The sequence below is a fragment of the Homo sapiens genome, chromosome 4 (assembly GCF_000001405.40).
Source record: "Homo sapiens chromosome 4, GRCh38.p14 Primary Assembly".
Taxonomy (NCBI): Eukaryota; Metazoa; Chordata; class Mammalia; order Primates; family Hominidae; genus Homo; species Homo sapiens.
In genome coordinates, this window is record NC_000004.12 from 121,683,540 (window position 1) to 121,705,549 (window position 22,010).

General features: G+C 42.1%; 1 protein-coding gene across 2 annotated transcripts in view, besides 3 other annotated features; it reads right to left on the reverse strand.

Annotated features, from left to right (window-relative positions):
• Positions 1-13,441, reverse strand: part of ANXA5 (annexin A5) — a 29,035-nt gene extending 15,594 nt beyond the window's left edge. For both annotated transcript variants that reach the window (NM_001154.4, XM_017008141.3), the window contains exons 1-4: positions 13,324-13,441; positions 13,042-13,085; positions 2,749-2,833; positions 1,138-1,232 (exon numbers count right to left, since the gene is read on the reverse strand). In NM_001154.4, the coding sequence (NP_001145.1) occupies positions 1,138-1,232; positions 2,749-2,833; positions 13,042-13,050 (189 nt within the window). In that variant the 5' untranslated portion in view covers positions 13,051-13,085; positions 13,324-13,441. The remainder of the gene's footprint in view (positions 1-1,137; positions 1,233-2,748; positions 2,834-13,041; positions 13,086-13,323) is intronic.
• Positions 6,851-8,050: an enhancer, noted in NCBI's record as "P300/CBP strongly-dependent group 1 enhancer chr4:122611545-122612744 (GRCh37/hg19 assembly coordinates)". NCBI's record gives its function as "activates an origin of replication core promoter dependent on BRD2, BRD4, P300/CBP, MED14 and CDK7 cofactors, with strong dependence on P300/CBP, by STARR-seq in HCT116 cells {active_cell/tissue: HCT116}" and the evidence as "EXISTENCE:reporter gene assay evidence [ECO:0000049][PMID:35650434]".
• Positions 7,255-7,324: an enhancer, noted in NCBI's record as "active region_21866". NCBI's record gives its function as "activates an Ori minimal core promoter by ATAC-STARR-seq in GM12878 lymphoblastoid cells {active_cell/tissue: GM12878}" and the evidence as "EXISTENCE:reporter gene assay evidence [ECO:0000049][PMID:35858748]".
• Positions 13,390-13,809: a silencer, noted in NCBI's record as "silent region_15659". NCBI's record gives its function as "represses an Ori minimal core promoter by ATAC-STARR-seq in GM12878 lymphoblastoid cells {active_cell/tissue: GM12878}" and the evidence as "EXISTENCE:reporter gene assay evidence [ECO:0000049][PMID:35858748]".

The window sequence follows — 22,010 nt, forward strand, 5'->3', positions numbered from 1 at the left end:
ATGAATGACAGTCCTTTGCTCTAATGAATTCTTTATGTTGCTGTCTCCAAGTAGAAGGCCCATGAGCTAAACAAAACCCTATAACCTTGAATAACATACTTTTAACCTGTGACCAAAATCTTAAACTAAAGCAAACCCACTTATACGTCAAGATATTTGTTTCTAAAAGATGTTTTTCTTAACTTGAAAAAAAAGAATACCTTTAAAAGTAGTCTAAAACTATTTTATAAAAATACTATTCTGAGAAACATATCTTCTTTGTAATTTCAAAAAATAATCATATAATGAAATTTACAAAGGACAACATTTAGTCTCTCATACCCAAACGTAATAATTTTTTCTTTTCTCTCAATATGTAATAACATTCAAACACATAATAGATTATAGTCATTGTTATGACTCCTGACCACTGGGAGATATCTGTTCCTATGGGGAAATTGTGTATGTAATTATGAAAAAATTATGTAATTGTGAAAAAAAAAACACAGTATTTCCTACCTATAAGTTTCAGCATACCACACAACTAAAAATGGTGTTTAGAATACTTTCTTTTTTGCTTTGCACTTGTTTCCTTAGTTAAGTGACATACGTTTTCAGAATAACAAGACTACATTTAAGTTTTCCATGCATGCACTAATTCATTTAAATTTAAATAATTCAAATAATTCATTTAAATAATTCAAATAAATTTTTTTGAATTATTAATCAAATAAAAGCATTTAAATCAACTAATTAAAAACCCATTAGTTAAAATCATGACAAAAGGAACCAAGACTGTGACTGTGTTAAAACAAAACATATTTTAATACAGGCTTACACCTAGAAAATGGATAGTAAGACATCCATGTGAATGCTGAGTGGGAAACACAGAGGAAAAGAAGAGAGACAGTTCTCACTACAGGATCTTTTGGCACCTCTACAGCATTAGGCAAGGAAAAACAATTATGTGAGGATAAGCTGGGTGAGCACTGTATCCTAAGAGCTGATAATTTAGAGGAGAGTGGAAAAGAAACAGAAGTAGGGAAGTCGGAATCACAAAATAAATGATGCTTACAAAAGAATATCAGTATATTCCAAACTAGTCTTATAACTGATAGCTGTTCTCCCATTCTCTCTTGGGATGAAGTGTGGTCTTACCCTGCCAAACAGAGTCTTAAAAGCTGCAGAGATTTCCTGGCGCTGAGCATTACTTCGGGATGTCAACAGAGTCAGGATGCTCTCCTCATCTGTGCCTGCAATTTATGGTTAACAATTACATTTTGGCTCCTACATGCATACTCTCCCAACGATCTTGGCAACTCGCTTCCCAGTCACCTTATTTCCTTGCCTCTCCCTATGCGAATATAAAATATATTTTATGGCCGGCGCAGTGGCTCACATCTGTAATCCTAGCTCTTTGGGAGGCCAAGATGGGAGGATTGCTTGAGGCCAGGAGTTCAAGACCTGCCTGGTCAACATAGTGAGACCCCCATCTCTTAGAAAAAAAAAAAATATGTATATATATATATATATACACACACACATATATATATACACACACACACACACAGACGCAAATACACACATATATATAAATGTTTTATTAAACAGTTTATTAAAAATTTACAATATATAAAATGTTACGTTTCCAATATATTCTACCCCCCATTCCCAACCTATTGTGAAGTAGATGGAAAAATACTTCTGCCTTTTAAAAAACTTAGGGCACCTAGTTTTTTAAAAACACACAAATAAGTATGAGCTAAGGCAAAATGTGACAAGTGCCTCAGGAGAGATCTAGGTGTTAAATGGGGCTCAAAGAAGGGTCTCCTAGCTGATAGGAGGTGGAAGGGAATCTTGGAGAATGATTCATGGAGAAGGTGACACCCACAAGTATTGAAGGATGGAAGGATTGTGAAAGGCAGTGACGAAAGGAAGGACAGCGTTTAGAATGAGAGAAAAGCTCAGCAGTGGGGAAATACAGGGCTTTCATAAACAGCAGATAAGCCAGGATGGTTGGGTCTGAGAACACATTAAACAGTAATGGGAGATGAGTCTGAAAAGGTGGGCTGGATACAATGGAAGGACTTACAGGGCCAGAAAGCACATGAACAGTAGTACAAAAGGAGCCTGAGCACAGGAGATCAGTGACACATGGAAATCCTTGAGATGAGAGGTTTTTAAATGACTAGAAAAGAGGCTGGGGAAAGAGAAGAGTCTAGCAGAATGAGAATGGGATATCTGATTGGGAACAGAGCTGCACAGCTGCCCACCTGCAGGGATGGCTGCCTTATCGACTCGGGCCTCTACCACACAGGTGAGGGTGACAAGCTCAAAAGCACAGAGGCTGAATTTAACTGCCTGTTCAGTTCTAGAGACTGAATATTAGGGATGGTTTATAGCAAGCTTGTCCAACCCATGGCCTGCAAGCCACATGTGGCCCAGGACAGCTCTGAATGCAGCCTAACACAAACTCATAAACTTTCTGAAAACATTATGAAATTTTTTTGCTTTTTTTTTTTTTTTAGCTCATCAGCTATCATTATTGTTAGTGTATTTTATGTGTGGCCCAAGATAATTCTTCCAATGTGGCCCAGAGAAGCCAAAAGACTGGACACTCTGGTTTATAGTATTATTTTGTTATCTTAACATATCTCTTCTCCTACAGATTTCAGATCAAAATATTCTAAAATTATTCTTACTGTAATTAATGACTTGTTTGGAAAAACAAATATCACATTTGCTTTAGAAAGAGGAAGCTAAATTTACCCAAGCCTTTCATAGCCTTCCGAAGAGTTTCTGCATCAGCCCGCTCATCAAATCCAGGGAAGTCAGTCACAGTGCCTCTGAGAACCTAATTCACGAAACACAGTGGTATTATTCATATCATGACTAATATGACAAAGTAAATAACACAAACAGGAAGCCGCTTGCTATATATCATATTCAGTCATTAAATAAATTTACCATTTGATAAGATTTGTGACCCCTTTTGAACTGGGAAGGGAACCATTTACAATGGGAATTGGCATGGCCGATTCAGCACAGAAGCTATCCTGATCACCTGTAATACCATCAGTGGGAAGGCTGGCTCCCTCTTCTCTGTGACGAAACCCCACCAACACCTCCTGGTTCACAGAGGGCACATCTTTGCAGGTTCCCTTCCCATTAAGTCTCACACCATTTTGATCTACAAGCATACTGAGCCCGCACTAAATCTTAATACCCTATCCTGAGTACTCAATTTTAAGCAGTGCTCTTGTTACGTGCCTTTTGATCTAAGTCCTGTTTCTGTATACATACTTAGGGACTTTACGATAACCCAGCAAAGCCTGAAATGATCGTTCACGTGCCAGAGGAATACAAATCTTTGAATTTAGAACTTTATAAAGGTGTATTGGAAGACATTCTTCATAAAGCTTCCTGTTACACATTACTTTATCATATATATACACTGCTTTTAATAACCAAAATATCTTCGTATTTCAAAAAAAATTAGTGATATCGGCTGGGCGCAGTGGCTCACGCCTGTAATCCCAACACTTTGGGAGGCTGAGGCAGGCGGATCACAAGGTCAGGAGATCCGAGACCATCCTGGCTAACACGTTGAAACCCCATCTCTACTAAAAAAATTAACCGGGTGTGGTGGCAGGCGCCTGTAGTCCCAGCTGCTTGGGAGGCTGAGGCAGGAGAATGGTGTGAACCTGGGAGGCGGAGCTTGCAGTGAGCCAAGATCGCGCCACTGCACTCCAGCCAAGGTGACAGAGCGAGACTCTGTCTCACAAAAAAAAAAAAAAAAAAGTTAGTGATATCATTAGATCCTGAGAGTCATAAGGCTTTATTAATACTGAGCCATAAATGTTTATCTTACGCTAAATGGAGGCTCCCAGAATTTACTTTACCAATAAATGTTTTTACATTCCCTCAAAACTCCTGCTTAGGTACCATCTAAACTGAGAAACAAACAGCTAAAAGGACTGTAAAGCTAGCCTCGTTTACAATCTTACATGTCTTATTATAAATGCACAAAAGCACAGTCACCAAAAAGGAGGAAAGTTTCTTTTCCATCTTAGCCTCCAATTGTTGCTATGCCAACAATAACATAATACTAATCAAATTTTAAAAGATGACAACAGAGAGAGATAGCCATGGTGAAGAACTTCCCCAGGGCATAGTGTCAAAGGTCAGTTCAGTGGCCTTCTCTCTTTAGTGGCACTAAATTAGGCTTCCTGAAAAAGTGGCACTCATGGATCCAGGAGATAGTGACAAAGACTCTCCCTTTGACCACACTTTGAAGAGGCTCCCCTGAGCCCTCTTCTCAACTAGTCCTTGTCATTGGGCCTCCTTTGCCTGCCTAGCAAGAAGCTTGCTAAGTCAGTTTAAGGAGGATACCCCTACTTTTGGTATCTGATCACCCTCTGTTATGAACCGAATATCTGTGTCCCCTCAAAATTCATATGTTGAAACCCTACCCCACCACATGACGGTAAATAGGAGGTAGAGCCTTTGCGAGATAATTAGAATTAGATGAAGTCATGAAAGCAGGGCCCCCAAAATGAGATCAGCATCCTTGTAAGAATCCAGAGACAGCTTGCCTCTCTCTGCTCTGTCACGTTAGGCTACAATAATGTCTAGAAGAGAGCCCTCACCACACCCAACCATGCTGGCACCCTGAGACTTCCAGTCACCAAAACTTTGAGAAATGAATTTCCTTCTTTATAAGCCACCCAGTCTATAGTATTCTGTTACAGCAGCCCAATGAACTAAGGCACCCTCTATATCTGATCAATTTCCTCATCCCCTCCCCCAACATCTGATCATCCTGGCCTGCCTTCAGCAAGAATCCTATTAAGTCAGTTTAGCACGAGTCCCCCTAACTTGATGTTTCCTGTTAGTAACTTTCCATGCACTGACCTCACTCTGCTTGTTAGCTATAAATCCCCAATTGTCTTCACTGTATTCAGAGTTGAACCTAATCTCTCTCCCCTGTGATAACAGTCATGACTTACATTGTAGTATTCTTGACTGAGGTCTTCCTTACCACCAGAATAACTTTTTCTTCAACTGTAGTCCTTACCCTTGTTCAAGAAGAGAAGACACACTGTTCTTTCCTCGGAACAGGGTCAGCTATGAGAGAACTTATCAGAAAACCTGACCTCATGAAGCCCCACACGACCTTAACTCCTAAGTCAAGTGGTATGATCATGAGGCCAAAAGAATATAATTCAAGAGAAAAAGAGGTGTTTCCAGGTTGATGTCCCAGCCCCAGGTTGTTGAAAGCACCACTGGCAGCAGCTTTCACTCCCTCTGTGCCTCAGCTAAACAAGGGACTGTGGCCAACTAGGAAAAGGGGAAGGGGAGCCTCTCTCCCACTTGTCTCGTGGAGAGGTTATGAAACTAAGCCAGAGCTGTTCATTCCACCAAGAGGGAAATCCACCCACAGCCAGGCTAGTCTCCATTTCCACCCCATCTAAGGAGCACAGATACATAAAGACCAATAGATTCCCTGCCATTCATTCGATACCTTAATCCATATGAAACTGAATGGTTGAATACTGACAACTTCATAAAAGGAGTTATAGTTTAGAAGAGAAATTGATAAGATTTGAGAAGATGATGCTCAAAATTAGCCTGTGTTAGGAAAGTTCTTTCTCTCAGATCAAGTTACAGCTTCTCTTTAATGAGACCACTTCAAATTGATCAGTATCATTGTAAAAATGAATAAACTCTACAAGTTTTCTTAATGTGAGAACTTAGGACTGAATGCCCCTTGCAGTCCATCTGTCTTTTTACTCATTGACTCACCATCTTTTGAATGTCTCCCCCGTCCAAAGTATTATACTAACTACTAGTTAAAAGTCAGGATCCCTCAAGTTAAGTGTGAAATGACAGGCATATAACTAATCAAGTGCAGTAGAATATGTACACACAGAGGCTGGATTAGGGCAATGTGAGCACATTTGAGAGGACTATATTGGGAAGTGTGAAAAGAGAAAAAATTCGGAAAAAAATTCCAAACAGTCTTGAAAGTTGCCTGTGAATTTGCCAGGCCAATCTTGGTACTTTGGCTAAAGAGTTAAGTATTTCAGCAGACTGGAACAAGCAGTAAGGTTGAAACAAAAACAAGGGAAAGGTCACAGTGAAGGGAGGGGAAGGGCACAAAAGCCATGCTAAAATGTGCAGACCTCATCCTGTAGGCAACAGGAAGCCACTGGAGGACACTCAGGCAGGGAAGAACAATGTCAACTCTGCACAGCAAGATGGAACCGACTGTGCAAGAGTGACAAGAAGACTGCTTAGAAACTAACAACACAAAGAAGGAAAGGAAGACCTAAACAAAGGCAGGGACAGAAACAGGCCCCAGGTAGACAGGAACTACTTAGGGTGATTCTGTTTTTTGGATGAGAAAGAGGATGGCTGACTTTGCATTTCTCCATAGTAGGCTTGGTGAGTTGTCAGCATACGCCGGTAGTAGCTGGAGGGGGCCACCACGCAAGACAATATTAATGGGGTGGAAAGAGCCAGAGGAGAAGGAAAGGGAAGGTGACCTACAATCAGAGTGGCAGCTAGTATCTGCTGAGTGCAGCAATGCACCAGGCACCGTGCACAGAGCTTCACATAGATCATCTCAGGGAAATCCCATCTTACAGACAAAGAAACATACTGGCTCAGAAAGGTTTTAGCAAGTGAGTCACCCAAATGACCATCAAACAAGCAAGTAGCAGAGATGGGACTTGAAGCCACAGGACCTTGGCTCCTGGGCTCTTACCCATGAAGCTACACTGTACTCCTAAAGGCAAGAAGAAAATCCAAGGAGGGTGATGGCATGGAAGCTGAAGGAGGCAAATGTTCCAAGAGGAAAGAAAGAGGAGGCAGTGTCCAATACCACAGGAAGTCAAGGAAGAGCTAAGAGTGAAAGGGTCCACTGGATTTGGTAACTAGGAGATCTTTGGTGGTGTTTAACAGTCTGGCTATAGGACACTCAGGAATGAATTGAGGGAAAGACGGTCTCAATGAAACAACAGTTTGCAAAGCAGGCTTTTAAAAACACAGTTAAGAGAAAAAAAAAGGCTTGATAAGGTTTGTAGGCTATGAAGAAACTTCTGGAGAGACAGAGAGGTGAAAAACAGGGAGAGGTTAGAAACAGAAGAGACATGAGGGATTTGCCTAAAGAAAAAAGATATCTGACACCAGAGACTGAAGGAAATTAGGTGAAAGATGAATGGAAGAAAAGCATCTTAAAAATCTCACCTACTAAGCATGAAGAAACAACTGCTAGTCCTCTTTTTGAGAGCTTTCTAGAAATTGTGAAACACTTTTGCTACATTCCATACAGTCAGAGTCATCCACTAAGGATAGCAAAGCCACGTAGCGGTATTAAGAGACCAGATGTGAATCAGAGAAATGAGTAAGAAGGGCAGAACCCTTGTTTGGACATCCTGTGCAAACCCCATCACTGCCCACCCAAAACTGTCTGCAAATGTGACTTTAAATGACTCATTCAAGAGGGCTTCCCCTGTTTCCTGGAGTCCCCACACTTTACCCAGATTAATGCCAACTCTTAAGTAGGTACTGTTCCCTCACCCATTCACCCATCCTCAGTTCATCCTCAATTCCCTTTATCTGCTACCACCAATGCCTTACGAAGATAATTATAATATATTCTTAGATAATACTTGGCCAAAATATACAATTCACTCTTTTAATTCTCACCTTCAAAAATATCCATTCTTTAGGTCTATAATTTTGTTGGCTTTTTTTTTCTCTAAATGAAAAAGTTCTTTACCCGCAAGGACTAGGTATGCCAAAAAAAAAATGAATAAGACCAACCAAACAACAAGGGAAGGGTAGCTTTTCTAGACACAGAACTTAGACATAAATAACAATTTCAAGTTTAAAGATGAGAAAGTATTCACCTGTCTGGAACATTTTAAATAAAGCCTTCCTGAAGACACAGAAAAGGACTAAACTCTCTTTGTTCTCCAGTTCCATATAATCAATATTTACTCAAATACCGCACCCTCCCCCCACCTCCAGCATTCCACGTAATATTAACTAGGAGCTGGAAATCATGAAGCAAACCACAAGCTGAGCAACTGCTAAGCCGCTATGCAGTGATTTTTAAGGGTGGTTCTTCTGAGGCAGGTTTCCAAAGACCTTGGAGCCACTCCAAAAAACAGTAAGCTGGGAAGACAATTGCCTCCCCACTCCATGTACATACACTAGGGCCCTACCTTATGTACGTATTAGAGGCCCGTTAATATTTCCTGCAATAATGGTTCCCGCTAATGAGAAAATAAATTATTTATCACTGTACTAAGAAAAAAATAAGAAGGGCATAAAAGAGGGAAATGTCAGTGTGACCTGATTATGCTTTGAGCTGTAAAGCAAAATAATTATCAGGGAAAAAATTAGGACCTCCAAGAAGACTGAGGAGTACAAACACATCAGAGGTCAGAGACATGCTCTCAACCCCCAATCCTAACCCTTGCTCTAATCCCAACTCAGAAAAAGTGAATGATATAGTTCAAAGCGTTAAACTCGAACTGGCCTATTGCTTACTTTTGTGTAATTTCCTTTCCTTTTCATGCTCCATCTTACTTGTTTTTGCTTCTTTCCATTTGTCTATCCATCCTACCACCTTTGACCTGTTTCTTAAAATCAAATGCAAGGGAAAAAAAACATCACTGGAGAACAGACTAAGTTGTTTGCATCGTGGTAGAAAAGAAGGTTTTGATAACAAAGTGAAGATTTGTAAAATGATTTAAATTTTTGTTGTGTATTTCTTTAATGCTCTGTGTTTAATGTTGTGTCTCTTTACCAGTGTAAGAATGACTTCCCTTGACAAACACCAATAAAATGGAAAGTTAAATTGTGTGCTCAAGTTGCCCAAGAATAACTCCAGTGATGTCTTGAGTGAGTTAAAGTGAGCAGGTGGCATTGGCCTCCCATGAGTTCACATTGAAGGTCAGAGGAGAGTATGCTCTTTTACCAAATTGTTCCATTGGGCATTCCATGAATAACACTTGAAAAGTTCTATCCCTTCCAAGACAAGGCTTGATTTCCCCACCTCACTGCAGTTTCACTCCATCATGCCAAACTCTTTTACACCCCTAAGTATTTATTTGCTGTTGTTACCTCTCTGTATGATGGCTTCCCTCCTTTGTCCCATACAAAGAATGCCAGCTAAGTAACCTCAATTTCCCCTTCTGTGAAACAAAAATAGTAATACCTATTTCCAAAACTGTGTTATGAGGACTAAATAATGCACACAAAAGACTTGGCAATGCATCTATTATATCAATAAATCTTAGATCCATTTCCCATTGCGCTCATGTTTAACAATACTTGGCACATAGTGAAAATGCAAAAGCCTCATGCATTCATGAATGCATGCATGGATGAAAAAGAGAACAGTTAAGAACTAGTGTCCCACCAGGCGCAGTGGCTCATGCCTGTAATCCCAGCACTTTGGGAGGCCGAGGCACACGGATCACTTGAGGTTAGGAGTTCGAGACTAGCCTGGCCAACATGGCGAAACTCCGTCTCTACTAAAAATACAAAAATTAGCCAGGCGTGGTGGCACATGCCTCTAATCCCAGCTACTCCGGAGGCTGAGGGAAGAGAATCAGTTGAACCCAGGAAGCAGAGGTTGCAGTGAGCTGAGATCACGCCACGGCACTCCAGCCTGGACAACAAAGCGAGACTCCATCTCGGGGGAGAAAAAAAAAAACCCAAAAAACTAGTGTCCAAAGAAATGAAGCCAGGAGTATAATTCCTTGCAATTAATCAATTGATGATATGTTTACATATTATGTAAACTAACTAAACTGAAAGACTGCGTCTAAGAAGCACTTAAAGCAAAGGTCTTAGGAGCCCTAATTTTTAAAAAACAGATGCATTTGTGAAATTTTAGAATAGTATGAAGGTTATATGAATAAAATGTATTTCAGGAATGAATCTATGCTGTAAAAGCACTGTTATATTTTTACCATTTTGAACTTCTAAGTCATTAAAAGAAGAAAGCCGGACTGCCTGCCTGTAACTAGCCTGATCACCTATGTAGGCCTTCCAAGGAGAACTGGATATTAGATAAGGAAATCAGGGTTTGCTGAATGCCAATGAATTGCTCAGTGGCTTGCAAAGCAGCCAAGTAGTTTTTGATCTAGTTCTTTCTCAGCAGCCAAAATGAACTTAAGAGTTAAACAGATAAGGAACCAAGAGAAATCACCAGGAGCAGCACAGGCCACGGGTAAACAGGTAACCCTGATCTAAGATCCCAAAAGTGAACATTAGCTCCAGAGAGACTTGACTTTAAAAAATGAATGGCATGAAAAGATGCAATCAATATCCAGTCAGCTCCTCTGGAAGGAGTTTCATCTCAAATTTATTTATTTACATTTATCCTGCTTGCTCGGCACAGGGCTTTTTTAAATTATTATAATAATTTTAAACCAACCGAAAATATTTCTGATCAAACCTTGTAACTTAAACATATACCATAGAGATAATTCTGATGTTCATGAGAACACTTGGACACAGAAAGGGGAACATCACACACCCACACCGGGGCCTATTGTGGGCGGGGGGGAGGGGGGAGGGATAGCATTAGGAGATACAGCTAATGTAAATATTGAGTTAATGGGTGCAGCACACCAACATGGCACCATGTATACATATGTAACAAACCTGCATGTTGTGCACACATACCCTAGAACTTAAAGTATAATAAAAATATATATATAATAAAAAATAAATAAAAAATAAACAAAAAAATTCTGATGTTCATGAAGCTTCTAATGAACAATTACGTAGCCTAGTTTTGCCTTCATGACATTCTTACTGCTCAGACGCCGCACCCAACTTTAATACTAAACTTTTTTTTTGAGACGTAGTCTCACTGTTGCCCAGGCTGGAGTGCAGCAGCGCGATCTCAGCTCACTGCAACCTCCGCCTCCCGGGTTCAAGTGATTCTCCTGCCTCAGCCTCCCGAGTAGCTGGGATTACAGTTGTGCACCACCATGCCCAGCTAATTTTTGTATTTTTAGAAGAGACGAGGTCTCACCATGTTGGTTAGGCTGGTCTCGAACTCCTGACCTCGTGATCCACGTGCCTCAGCCTCCCAAAGTGCTAGGATTACAGGCATGAGCCACCATGCCTGGCCAATACTAAATATTTTAACAAAATGTTTTACTTTCATGATTTCCAAAAATAGTAACAAAACTAGAACAAAATTTAACACTCTGTATCTTTTTTAAAACATTACTTGTAACTTTTATGATTAGTAAAAACTGTAGTTTTGATAGAAAACAGTCTTGGTGTTATATTGTCATAGGGCTCAGGTACATAATTTTATATGCAAACCACCATTCTCCTAGGTTTTCTATACACATGGCCTTTATGATACTAATCATTCTTTGAAATTATTAAAATTAATGTCCACAACTGGAAAATATGTTCGCTTATACTATTTGGGTAAACAGTCTACATAATGAAAAGGAATTGATGGACCCTCAGACATCACTGGGGAACTTACAAGAGATTCAAGAAACTGCTAAATGAGCAAAGATAGAGGGAATTATTATTCGATGCTTGTTAAATCTTCATGTACATCACCACACCAGCATATCAAGATAGGAAAAATATTACTCAGGAAAGTTAATTCCACATAAAAGTATCCTTTCTATGGAGAAGAACTTAAACCAAACTTTCCACTTGAAGTAATATGAGAATTGGTTTACTGTAACATTTAAGTGCAAAAGAGGAGGTAAGAATGGGATCACTGTGTAAGTTTCATAAAGTAATCAACTAATCTTAATCCTCCCATTTTCACTTGGAAAGGACCAAGAAACCTTTTTCAATTTTGATAAGTCAATCTGATAAAAAGTGAACTATAAATAAGAGACAGCATTGTTTTAGCAGTTAAAACACTTGTTTAAAAAAAACTATCTGGACTCTGACAAGCCGGTTAGATTGACAAGATCTGTGAAATCAGTTTTAGAGTTTTTAAGCCCTGGTATCTTATTCACAAAAGACTGTATAACATGGTCAATATTTAAAGACCTTAAACTATCTTCTCTTTCCTACATTTTTGATAAACATTAATAACAGTAAAGAAACCAGGCGCAGTGGGATTACAGTCCTGAGGCCGAGGCGGGAGGATCACTTGAGGCAAGGAGTTTGAGACCAGCCTGGCCAACATGGTGAAACCCCGCCTCTACTAAAAATACAAAATTAGCTGGGCATGGTGGGGCGCCTGTAATCCCAGCTACTTGGAAAGCTGAGACACGAGAATTGCTTGAACCCGGGAGGCAGAGGTTGTAGTGAGCGAGATCACTACGTCACTGGACTCCAGCCTGGGCGACAGAGTGAGACTCCGTCTCAAAAAAAAAGGAAAAAAAAAAAACAGTAAAGAAAGCCTGTAGTAGATTATCAATTTCTGAAACAGTCCCAAGGCAAATTCAATTGAGAACTCGTTCCACGAGTTCATTGCTTAAGAAAAACAGCGCTTGTGTTTAATCTTTTGGATTAAAAAAAAAATCAGAGCCTACGTCCTACAGTTTTAGTAAAACTGGGCTGAGCAACTGGAAAAAGCCAATGCTCAATCACAGTATTAAAATACAGAAAACTTTGCGGAAAAAAAATAAAGGAAGTCGGGGGGCGGGGTGGGGGGGGAATGCGTTCGCCTCACATGACCACGATGAGCTGTTCTTGCTCCGGTTCTAATTTGAGCTACTCTCTGGATTTTGGGGAAGGCCCACTTTTACACATTCACTCATGAAAAGGGAGCGCACACAAATCCGGCCACGTCACCAGCTGTTGCGCGCGAAGGCAGCTTGGCGGCGTCGGTGCTGGTTCCGGAGGGCGCTCAGCGGGAAGAACCGGGACACAGAAACGGGGGCAGGGAAGCAAAGGGGGAACAAGAAAAGTGGAAGCGATGTCCCCAAAGCAGGTTCCCTTTCCTCCTAAACTTTTTGGCTCTCAGACAAATCCTAAAAGTCCCTCGTCGCAGCATACAAAGTTGTGGGTAAATCCAGCGCAGTGGGGGGCGCACGGCCTTACCTGTGCCATGGCGACTACTCAGGTCAGGGGAAGGTGAAGCAGGACTGCAAAAGAGAAGAAACCTCGGGCTTAGCGCGCCATTTGCAACTCGTGCCCTCCCCAAGCGCAGGTCCGCGGGGACCCGGCGGCGCTCAGACAGCCCGGAGGGCCCCGCCACGGGGCCGACCCGCCCTCTCGCAGCTACCGGGACAGCTCTCGGCCGAGCGTCCGCGCGAATCCAGTGCCCCGCGACCACGCTCTCCTCTCCAGAAGGAGCCCCCTCCCCGGGCTGCGACCACTCACCCAGACTGTGGGACCCAAGTGCCCCGAAACCCCGGGAGAGCGGCGGAGAGCCGGGCGACGGTACGCGGGGCGACGCCGAGATGCAGACGCTGAAGGATCCGGCAGCTGCACCTAGACTGATCCAAGCAACGGAAACGCCAGCGGCCCCACCCCGGCCCTGCCCGGCTTGGCCCGTCCCACCCCCGCCAGGGCCCCAACCGCAGGCCGGCCGCGCCAGCCGGGCCCGCCCCTGCCCCGGCCTCAGCGCGCCTGCGTGGGTCGCGGCTCGTCCCAGTTGGTCTCCCGCGGCGCGGACTGTCCCGCTGGTCTCGCGGGCCTGGGTGGGGAGCGGCCGCAGAGCTGCTGGAACCAGGAGGAGGCGCCGCTCCCCCGAGGGCCCCGGAGACCTCTTGTCCTCGCGCCGCGGGAAGGGCCTGGGGAGCTGTCCAGGGCTCGGGGTTTTGGAGGTGCTTGAGCCTCCCTGCCCTCTGTGACCGCAGGAACCGTAGCCTCACTTGGGTGCTCAACATAGTGCGTGGGCGTCTTTTTGGAGGCGAGACAAAATCATCGCAGCTAAGGACAGCGCGCCTTTGTCGATGGGATAGAAAAAACGTGAAAGGAGGGCCGTTTCCCAAGTTGTTTTTGTTTCTGTTTTGTTTTGTTGTTTTGTTGTTGTTTTAATGCCTATTATTGCTTCCTAGATGGCCCTCTCTTAAATGTACAGCCTTCTAGTAGCGTATGTGGGCTATTTGAAAACCTCTGCTTCCAATCAGTTTCTGTTTTCAAAACTAGCCTAGAACTTTAATATGACTTAAATTTGAGCAATGCCTCATATTGGTTCAACATAAAATATATGAGTATATGAGAGAGAGGGGGAGGGAGGGAGAATCTACAGCGTATTGTACTAGCATGGTGCTGTGTTCTGTGAAAGGGCTTTATATGCAAAGCAGCCCCCAAACGCGAAGGAGTCAAGAAACCAAAGAACGAGACAGACAAATCCAGTCTGTAGGTAATAGGGGTGCTATTGGAGGATGTGGTAGACAGAAGCGTGGCCTTGGGCGGCGGCAAGCAGATAAATTTCTGCACTGTTACTCCCCAGACCCTGGCCTTATATACCGTAAGGAAAGAGTATACTGCTCTGTGCAAGACAATTAAAGGCAGCCCTCCGGAACAGGTGAGAATGCCGTATGCTTCATAGCCTACAATGTGGGCAATAGCATCAAGGTTGACATGTTCTTATGCTAAGGACAGTTTAAAAAAAAAATCCTAGGAATCAGGAGGTATTCATGGGACTGGGGTTATTAAAGGTCAACATGGCGGATTAGCATCCGGGATATAATCACTTTTGTCTCCATATGCTGGAAAAGGAAAAGTAGAAGACACAGGGACCTTCTCAGACTTACTGGTGTGGGGAGGGAAGGTGCCAGGGCAGAGGGGGCAAGAGGACAAGTTTGCGACACTAGATGCAGTGTTCTAGACATATGCTAGAATGGGAAGGGCAAAGTGCTTCTCAACGTGGAGGTTAAGGGTAAGAGATGAGGATCTAGTCTTCTTTGAGAATGAGGAAGAATAAATTAAATGGACAGCAAATGTGGTTCTTTGTATAGAACTTCTCATTCGCTTTCACGTGTGAACCACATGCCTATTCCAGCCCTGACAAAGTCACAACAGAGTGGTTGTTCTCTGGGAAAGGAGGCAAAATTGCAAAATTTGTGGAGCTTGCCAACCCCATCACCCCCACCCCACTGGCGGGTTGCCTTTCCTCTGGGAGCCTCCTCTCCACCAGCCCAGCTGTCTACTCAGCCTCAGGCTCTCCCCAAGTCAGCACCTCCCCCGGGTTTTCTTTACAGGTATTAATATATCTGAAGGCAGCCCTTTTCTGAGCATCTGTCTCCGTTGCTCCAGCTTTTCTACTTTCTCTCTGCCCTGCACCAAAAGCAGGACCTGTAGTCTTGCCTAGAGCATTCTTTTTTCTCACCCATATCCACTTGAACTCAGTTTGCTTCTCTCACTTTCTACTCTCACATTAATGGAGTTAAACAGGACCTCAGAGATCCTGTATTTAACAATCATTGATTTTACAGGGACATGAGACTCATCATGGGTTAGTGACTTGCTCTATGTCCTGCAGCTAAATACTGACAAAATCGATGAGTTATTGGACTCAGAGTCTTGAAATACTCCAGGTAGCATTTCTTTCACTTCCAGTAATATCAGTTTATTCAACTCCTACTCTGGACCAGGCACAGATCTAGGTGCTGGGGTAAACACGGCAAGTGAAACAAAGGCCTTGCCCTCATAGGTCATACATTCTGGTGGAGGAAACAAACAATAAACAAGTATCTAATATGTCCTGTGTGATGCGTGGTATAAAGAAAATAAAGGCTAGGGAATGGAAATGAAGGGAACACTTATTTTGCAAAGGTGATATGAAGCCATTTCTGAGAAGCCTTGAACAGAAACCTAAATTGATACAATTTAATTGTATTTGACAACTATACACTGAGCACCTGTGGAAAGGCCATACCTAAGAGTTTGCACCTTAATATTATAGATAAAGCATGTATATGAACACTACAATGAGAGACTATAAATCAGGAAAGAAATGCCTAGAATGCAATCAAAATGCAATTAGTTTCAGAGGAAGGAGCTAATATTTTGTCAGATGGTTGACATAGCATTTGGATTAGGCTTTTGAGAGAGGATATTTTATCAAACTATGAAGGGGAGAAAGGGTGGTCTGGTTAAGTGAACTGCAAAACCAAGAGAAGGAAAGTATCTCTTTGTGTCTGTGTGATTTGAACTGTCTAAAATGGCTGGAGTGGAAGGTACAATATTAGAGTTGAGAGATGTAGAAACTAAAACACAAAGAAGCTCAGCGACTTATTTAGAATAAAGAGAGATTGCCACATAAAGATTCTGCTTTGAATTGTGTATTTAATTGATGGATTTTGAACAACTGATGTTCTTAACTACTGAGTGATATAAATGATAGGCACTCAGGAAATCTCTTTCACTACCTCTTGTCAGCCTAATAACAAACAGAGAGGGAGACTTTCTAAAAGAAAATGATGTTTATTTGGGAATGGGCATTGCAATGGGAATATGTGTGCCATATTAAACTATTTTGCGTATTCAGGGAGGTAAAGGAAGGCAAAGGTTTTTCAAGGAAGAAGGAAGATTACATCATTGTTTTTGAGATAATTATCCTTGGCTACAGTAATCAATAACTAGAGTGGCACCAGTCTAATGTTGTACAGGCAGTTGCTGGGCAGATGTCTCCGCAGAAGTTCTCATTTTCTCTCTCTCTCTCTCTCTCTCTCTCTCTCTCTCTGTGTGTGTGTGTGTGTGTGTGTGTGTGTGTGTGTGTGGTTGCAATGGCCTTTGTCCAAAGTTGTGGTTTTTGCAGTATTTTTCAATAGTTCTTGTTATCAGGCATTTATGTATTAGAACCCTCCCTTCATGGCCTTCCCCAGCCATTTGTCAGGGATTTGTCTCGTTTTTTAACACAATTGACTCCATTTTGATAAGGACAGCTTTCACACTCTTAAAAACAAGTGTCTGTCATTCATCCCCCAATGGCCTTTATCAGTGTCCAAATGTCATCTTTAGAATCTCTGCCGGATTCGCCAGTTAAGTCTTTCATCTTTCTAATTAAATTTTCTCTTCTTACACATTTAAAAATTAAAGTCCTTCTTTCTCAGTGTATTGTCTTTGTGTTGTGTTCATTATAAGTACTACATAATAATTGTGGGGAGTTTTTTATACTATTCTTAGATATAAATAATGAGTTTCAGCTGTTTTCTATGAGACACTCAGGTCACATCAATTTTCTTTTTATTAGAGAAATATACCAAATGCCAGAGAACTAATTTACAAACACACTTTTGAAACTGTATTTATTTGTTAACTCAGGATTTTCCCTATTTCTCTCAATTATTTGGATCATTCAGGAACTAGCCAATTTATTCTAAATAAGTCGCTGAGCTTCTTTGTGTTTCAGTTTCTACATCTCTCAACTCTAATATTTTGATCATATATTCATGGCCCTACTGTTTCCCTTGATTATAATGACACATAAAGAAAAGAAAATGAGTTACAGGCTTTTTATAAATAAGTACAAAACAACTCTTCTTTAGTTTTAGAGGAATTGGAATCTTGTTTTTTAGAAAATTATAACATTTTCAACCAGTCTACTTTAAAAATTGATTTTGTTTAATAAATATATCTATTGCAAATTATGGCAAGTTAAAGAAGAAGAAAAGATGGCAGGAGAATGAATTGCATGAAGCAGAAGAAACGAGAGAGTGGCTGAGGAGTAAAGTAGGGGCTAGATACAAAGGGAAAGGAGGAACATCATGTCTTCCAGGCAAGATCTGGAAAAAGCACACTCTCTGAAGACAGAGACAGTTGAGTTCAAATCCCTACTCTGCCTGCATACCAGGGATGTGACTTGGACAAATTATGTGATTTCTCTGATCCTTGGCTTCCTTATCTAGAGTGGAGGCTAGTTTCAAATAAGTTAATTTGTGAAACTGCCTAACAAATTGTGAAAAAGGGTTGATTCCATTCCCCCATGGCTCTTTTTTCTTTCAGAAACACTAACCATCATTCTCAGTTCCTGTTCTGATGATTAAGGACCCACCTTCATATTAAAAGCAAAAATAACCTCCTCTGGACCCACTGCTCCACTGCAGCAGGACCTATTGCCAGCCAGTCTCTCAGAGACGGCAGGTCCAACTCTTGGGGGCCAACCTGATGCTTCCTGGTGCCATTCCCCCTTCTTCCCGCCTATTCTGCCTCATCCAGAGTCTACCATCGATGGCCCCTATCAACATACAACTAGCCTAGACCCCCACCCTCTACCCTTCTCTCCACACGTGGGCCCTCTGATCCCCATCTGCTGGTGCCAACAACTGTAAAACCGTCACCTGGAATTTAATTCAAGTCACCTATCTGCCCTCAACTCATTCATGTCTTAAAGTCCCAGGGTGAGATTAGAGGTGGGGCTGCCTTCCTCAGTGGGCTCTGTCAAGTCTTTTTCCACCATCATCTCTACATCCCAGCAGTGATACTGGAATGTAGCTTTATTCTAGTGGCTCCCCATTCTTGCTCTTTAGGTTTAAAGTGGTTGTAGTGTCTCTGGAGAAAATAGGTCTCTCAGTGTGTTCAGGCTGCCATAACAAAATTGCATGAAGTGAGTAGCTTATAAACAACAGAAATGTGTTTATCACAGTCTGAAGCCTGGAAAGTGCAAGAACAAGGTTCCACAGATTTGGGGTCAGGTGAGGGCTTGCTTCCTCATAGACAGCCATCTTTACTGTAACCTCACATGGCAGAAGAGACTAGCTAGCTCTCTGGGGTCTCTTTTTTAAAGGCACTCTTAGTCCCTTTTCTGTTGCAATAAAAATACCACACACTGGGTAATTTATAAAGAACAGAAGTTTATTTGGCTCACAGTTCTGGAGACTGGGAAGTCCAAGAGCATGGCACCAGCGTCTGGTGAGGGCCTTCATGCTATATCATCCTGCGGAGGAAGGCAGAAGGTAGAAGGGAAACCAAGCACTTGAGACCAAGAGAAAGGTGACCAAATTCATCCTTTTTATCAGGAACTGACTCCCGAGATAACTAACTCACTCCCGTTCATGACCTACTCACCTCTTAAAGGCCCACCTCTCAACACTGTTGCATTGAGGATTAAGTTTCTAACACATGGACTTTGGAGGGCATGTTCAAACCATAGCAGGCACTAATCTTAATCATGAAGTGGAGTTCCCATGACCTAATCATCTCCCAAAGGCCCTACCCCTAATGCCATCACCTTAGAGGTGAAGATTTCAACATATCCATTTGAGAGGGACACATTCAGACATAGCAACAGGTCCAGGTATCTTTCAGAAACTCATCCTGAGCTAACAGTGCTAACTATCCCCTTATTGAGATCCATGTGCTCACCAAGAAATTAAAAGCAGAGACTCCTCAGGAGATTTTCAGTTTTAGATGTCTTTCCATTATTTTTATGCAAAACATTTGTATTTATCCAGTAAAATGTAAATCAACTTTCCTAGTAGGACACTGGAATGTAGATCTTGGGTAAATAATTAGAATATCTCATAGGAATCTTTCATGCAGAATTTTTAGGTGTGATTGAGATTCTCAACACTATTAGTAAAAGAAGCAGTAAAGGCTGGGCACGGTGGCTCACATCTGTAATCCCAGCACTTTAGGAGGCCGAGGCAGGTGGATCACTTGAGCCCAGCAATTCGAGACCATCCTGGGCAACATGGCAAAACCCCATCCCTACAAAAAAATACAAAAATGAGGGGGGTGTAGTGGCACACACCTGAAGTCCCAGCTAGCTACTTGGGAGGCTGAGGTAGGAGGATCATTTGAACCCAGGAGGTCAAGGCTACAGTGAGCTGAGTTCACGCCACTGCATTCAAGCATGGGAGATAGAGTGAGACCCTGTCTCAAAAAAAAAAAAATAAAAGAGAAAGAGAGAAGCAGCAGCAATAAAAATACTAAGCATGCATATAAAAGGACAAGCATCCTGCATCTCTTGTTTATTGCTGAATCCCCAACACCTAGCACAGTGCACATATTAATACATTAACTCATCCATTCAAAACATTTCATGAGCACCAGGCCGGGCAGGGTGGCTCACACCTGTAATCCCAGCACTTTGGGAGGCTGAGGCAGGCAGATCATCTGAGGTCAGGAGTTCGAGACCAGCCTGGCCAACATGATAAAACCCCGTCTCTACTAAAAATACAAAGATTAGCCAGGTGTGGTGGTGCACGCCTGTAATCCCAGCTACTCGGGGGCTGAGGCAGGAGAATCACTTGAATCTAGGAGGCGGAGGTTGTAGTGAGCCGAGATTGTGCCACCACTGCACTCCAGCCTGGGAGATAGAGCAAGACTCCATCTCAAAAACAAAACAAAACAAGACAAAAAAACTCATGAGCACTAAGTAACTGCTCATGAAATGTTTTGAATGGATGAGTGAATGTATGTATGAATGCATTGAATGCATTATAGTATAGGGGTATTGGTTTTCTTAAACAAAGGTTGCTATTAACTGCAAACTACTTATATTAAGAAGGCTATGAAATGAGATATGAAAAAGAGTTAAAAGGCAATTTTATAAGGGAGAACTTTGCCAGGGGAATAAATGTATTCTAGACAGCATTCTGAATTCCAAAAAGAACTCATCCATGGTTAGGTTAAGTTTTATTTTATGATTTTAACTAGTGTATGACCTTGGACAATGATTTGATTTTTCCTTATTTGGAATGTTGGTAAAGATTAAATGTGTTGACTTGTTTAATGCGTAAAAATAACAAGAAGATGAGTTTAAATTTCTCACCCCTTTTTTTTCTTCCAGAAGCTCTCACCACTGAATCCCACCTTCATTTTCCATGCTGATGATTCAGTCCCCATCCATCCCACTCAAAATCTAAAATTAGCCAGGATCAGTGGCTTGTGCCTGTAATCCCAGAAACTCGGGAGGCTGAGGCTAGGAGGGTCACTTGAGCCCAAGAAGTCGAGGCCAGCCTGGGCAACATAGGGAGACCCTGTTCATAAAAAATAAAATAAAAATTTTAAAAATCAGGCAGGCGTGGTGGTAGATGCCTGTAGCCCTAGCTATCTCGGAGGCTGAGGCAGGAAGATCTCCTGAGCCCAAGCGTTCAAGGCTGCAGTGAGCTGTGATTGCCACTGCACTTCAGCCTAGGTGACAGAGCAAGATCCCACCTCAAAAAAAAAAAAAAAAAAAAAAAACTATGGGCTGGGCGCAGTGGCTCATGCCCACCCTCAGCACTCCTGTTTCTCAGGCCTTCAGACTTGAACAGGAATCCACACATCATCAGCTCTCAGGCTCTCAGGGCTCAGGACTCAGAATTTTACCATCAGCTCCCTGGGTCTTCAGCTCACAGATGGTAGATAGTGGGAATTCTTAGTCTCTATAATCATGAGAGCAATTCCTTATAATATACCTAATTATGTATGTATCTCCATATCCTATTGCTTCTGTTATTCTGGAGAACCCCGACTTTAGTATTCTAGAGAAAAACTTTTTTCTACTCATGCAACACTTATGACACCAAATGTATGGAGTTTATCCTCACATTTAGCAATTCTCCAACTCTCCAGACACAAACTGGATGACCTACAAGTAAACTATGACACTAACTATCCGGAGTTAATGCATACCCCACAAGACTGCTGCCCCACCTTCAGATGCCTGTCAAAAGTACCAAGTTGTCACCTGTAGTATAAATTGGGACTTCCCACAAGCTACTCTTCAGGTTTGATAATTCGCTATAATGGCTCACAAGACTCTGGAAAACATTTACTTACTTTTACTGGTTTATTATAAAGGATGTTGCCAATGATGCAGATGAAAATGTACATAGGGCAAGGCATGGGGGTGTGGCACAGGGCTTCCAGGCCCTCTCCAGGCATGGCATCCTTGCAGCAACTCCATTTGTTCAGCAACCCAGGAGCTCTTCACAGCCTGTTGTTTATGATTGTTATGGAGGCTTCATTATATAGGCATGATTGATTGAATCATGGGCAATTGGTTATTGAACTCAATCTCTAGCCCCTCTCTCCTCCTCATAGGAGGAGTGAGGGGCTCAAAGTTCCAAACCTTTAATCACATAGTTGGTTCCTATGGCAACCATCCCCCATCCTCTAAGAGCTACCGC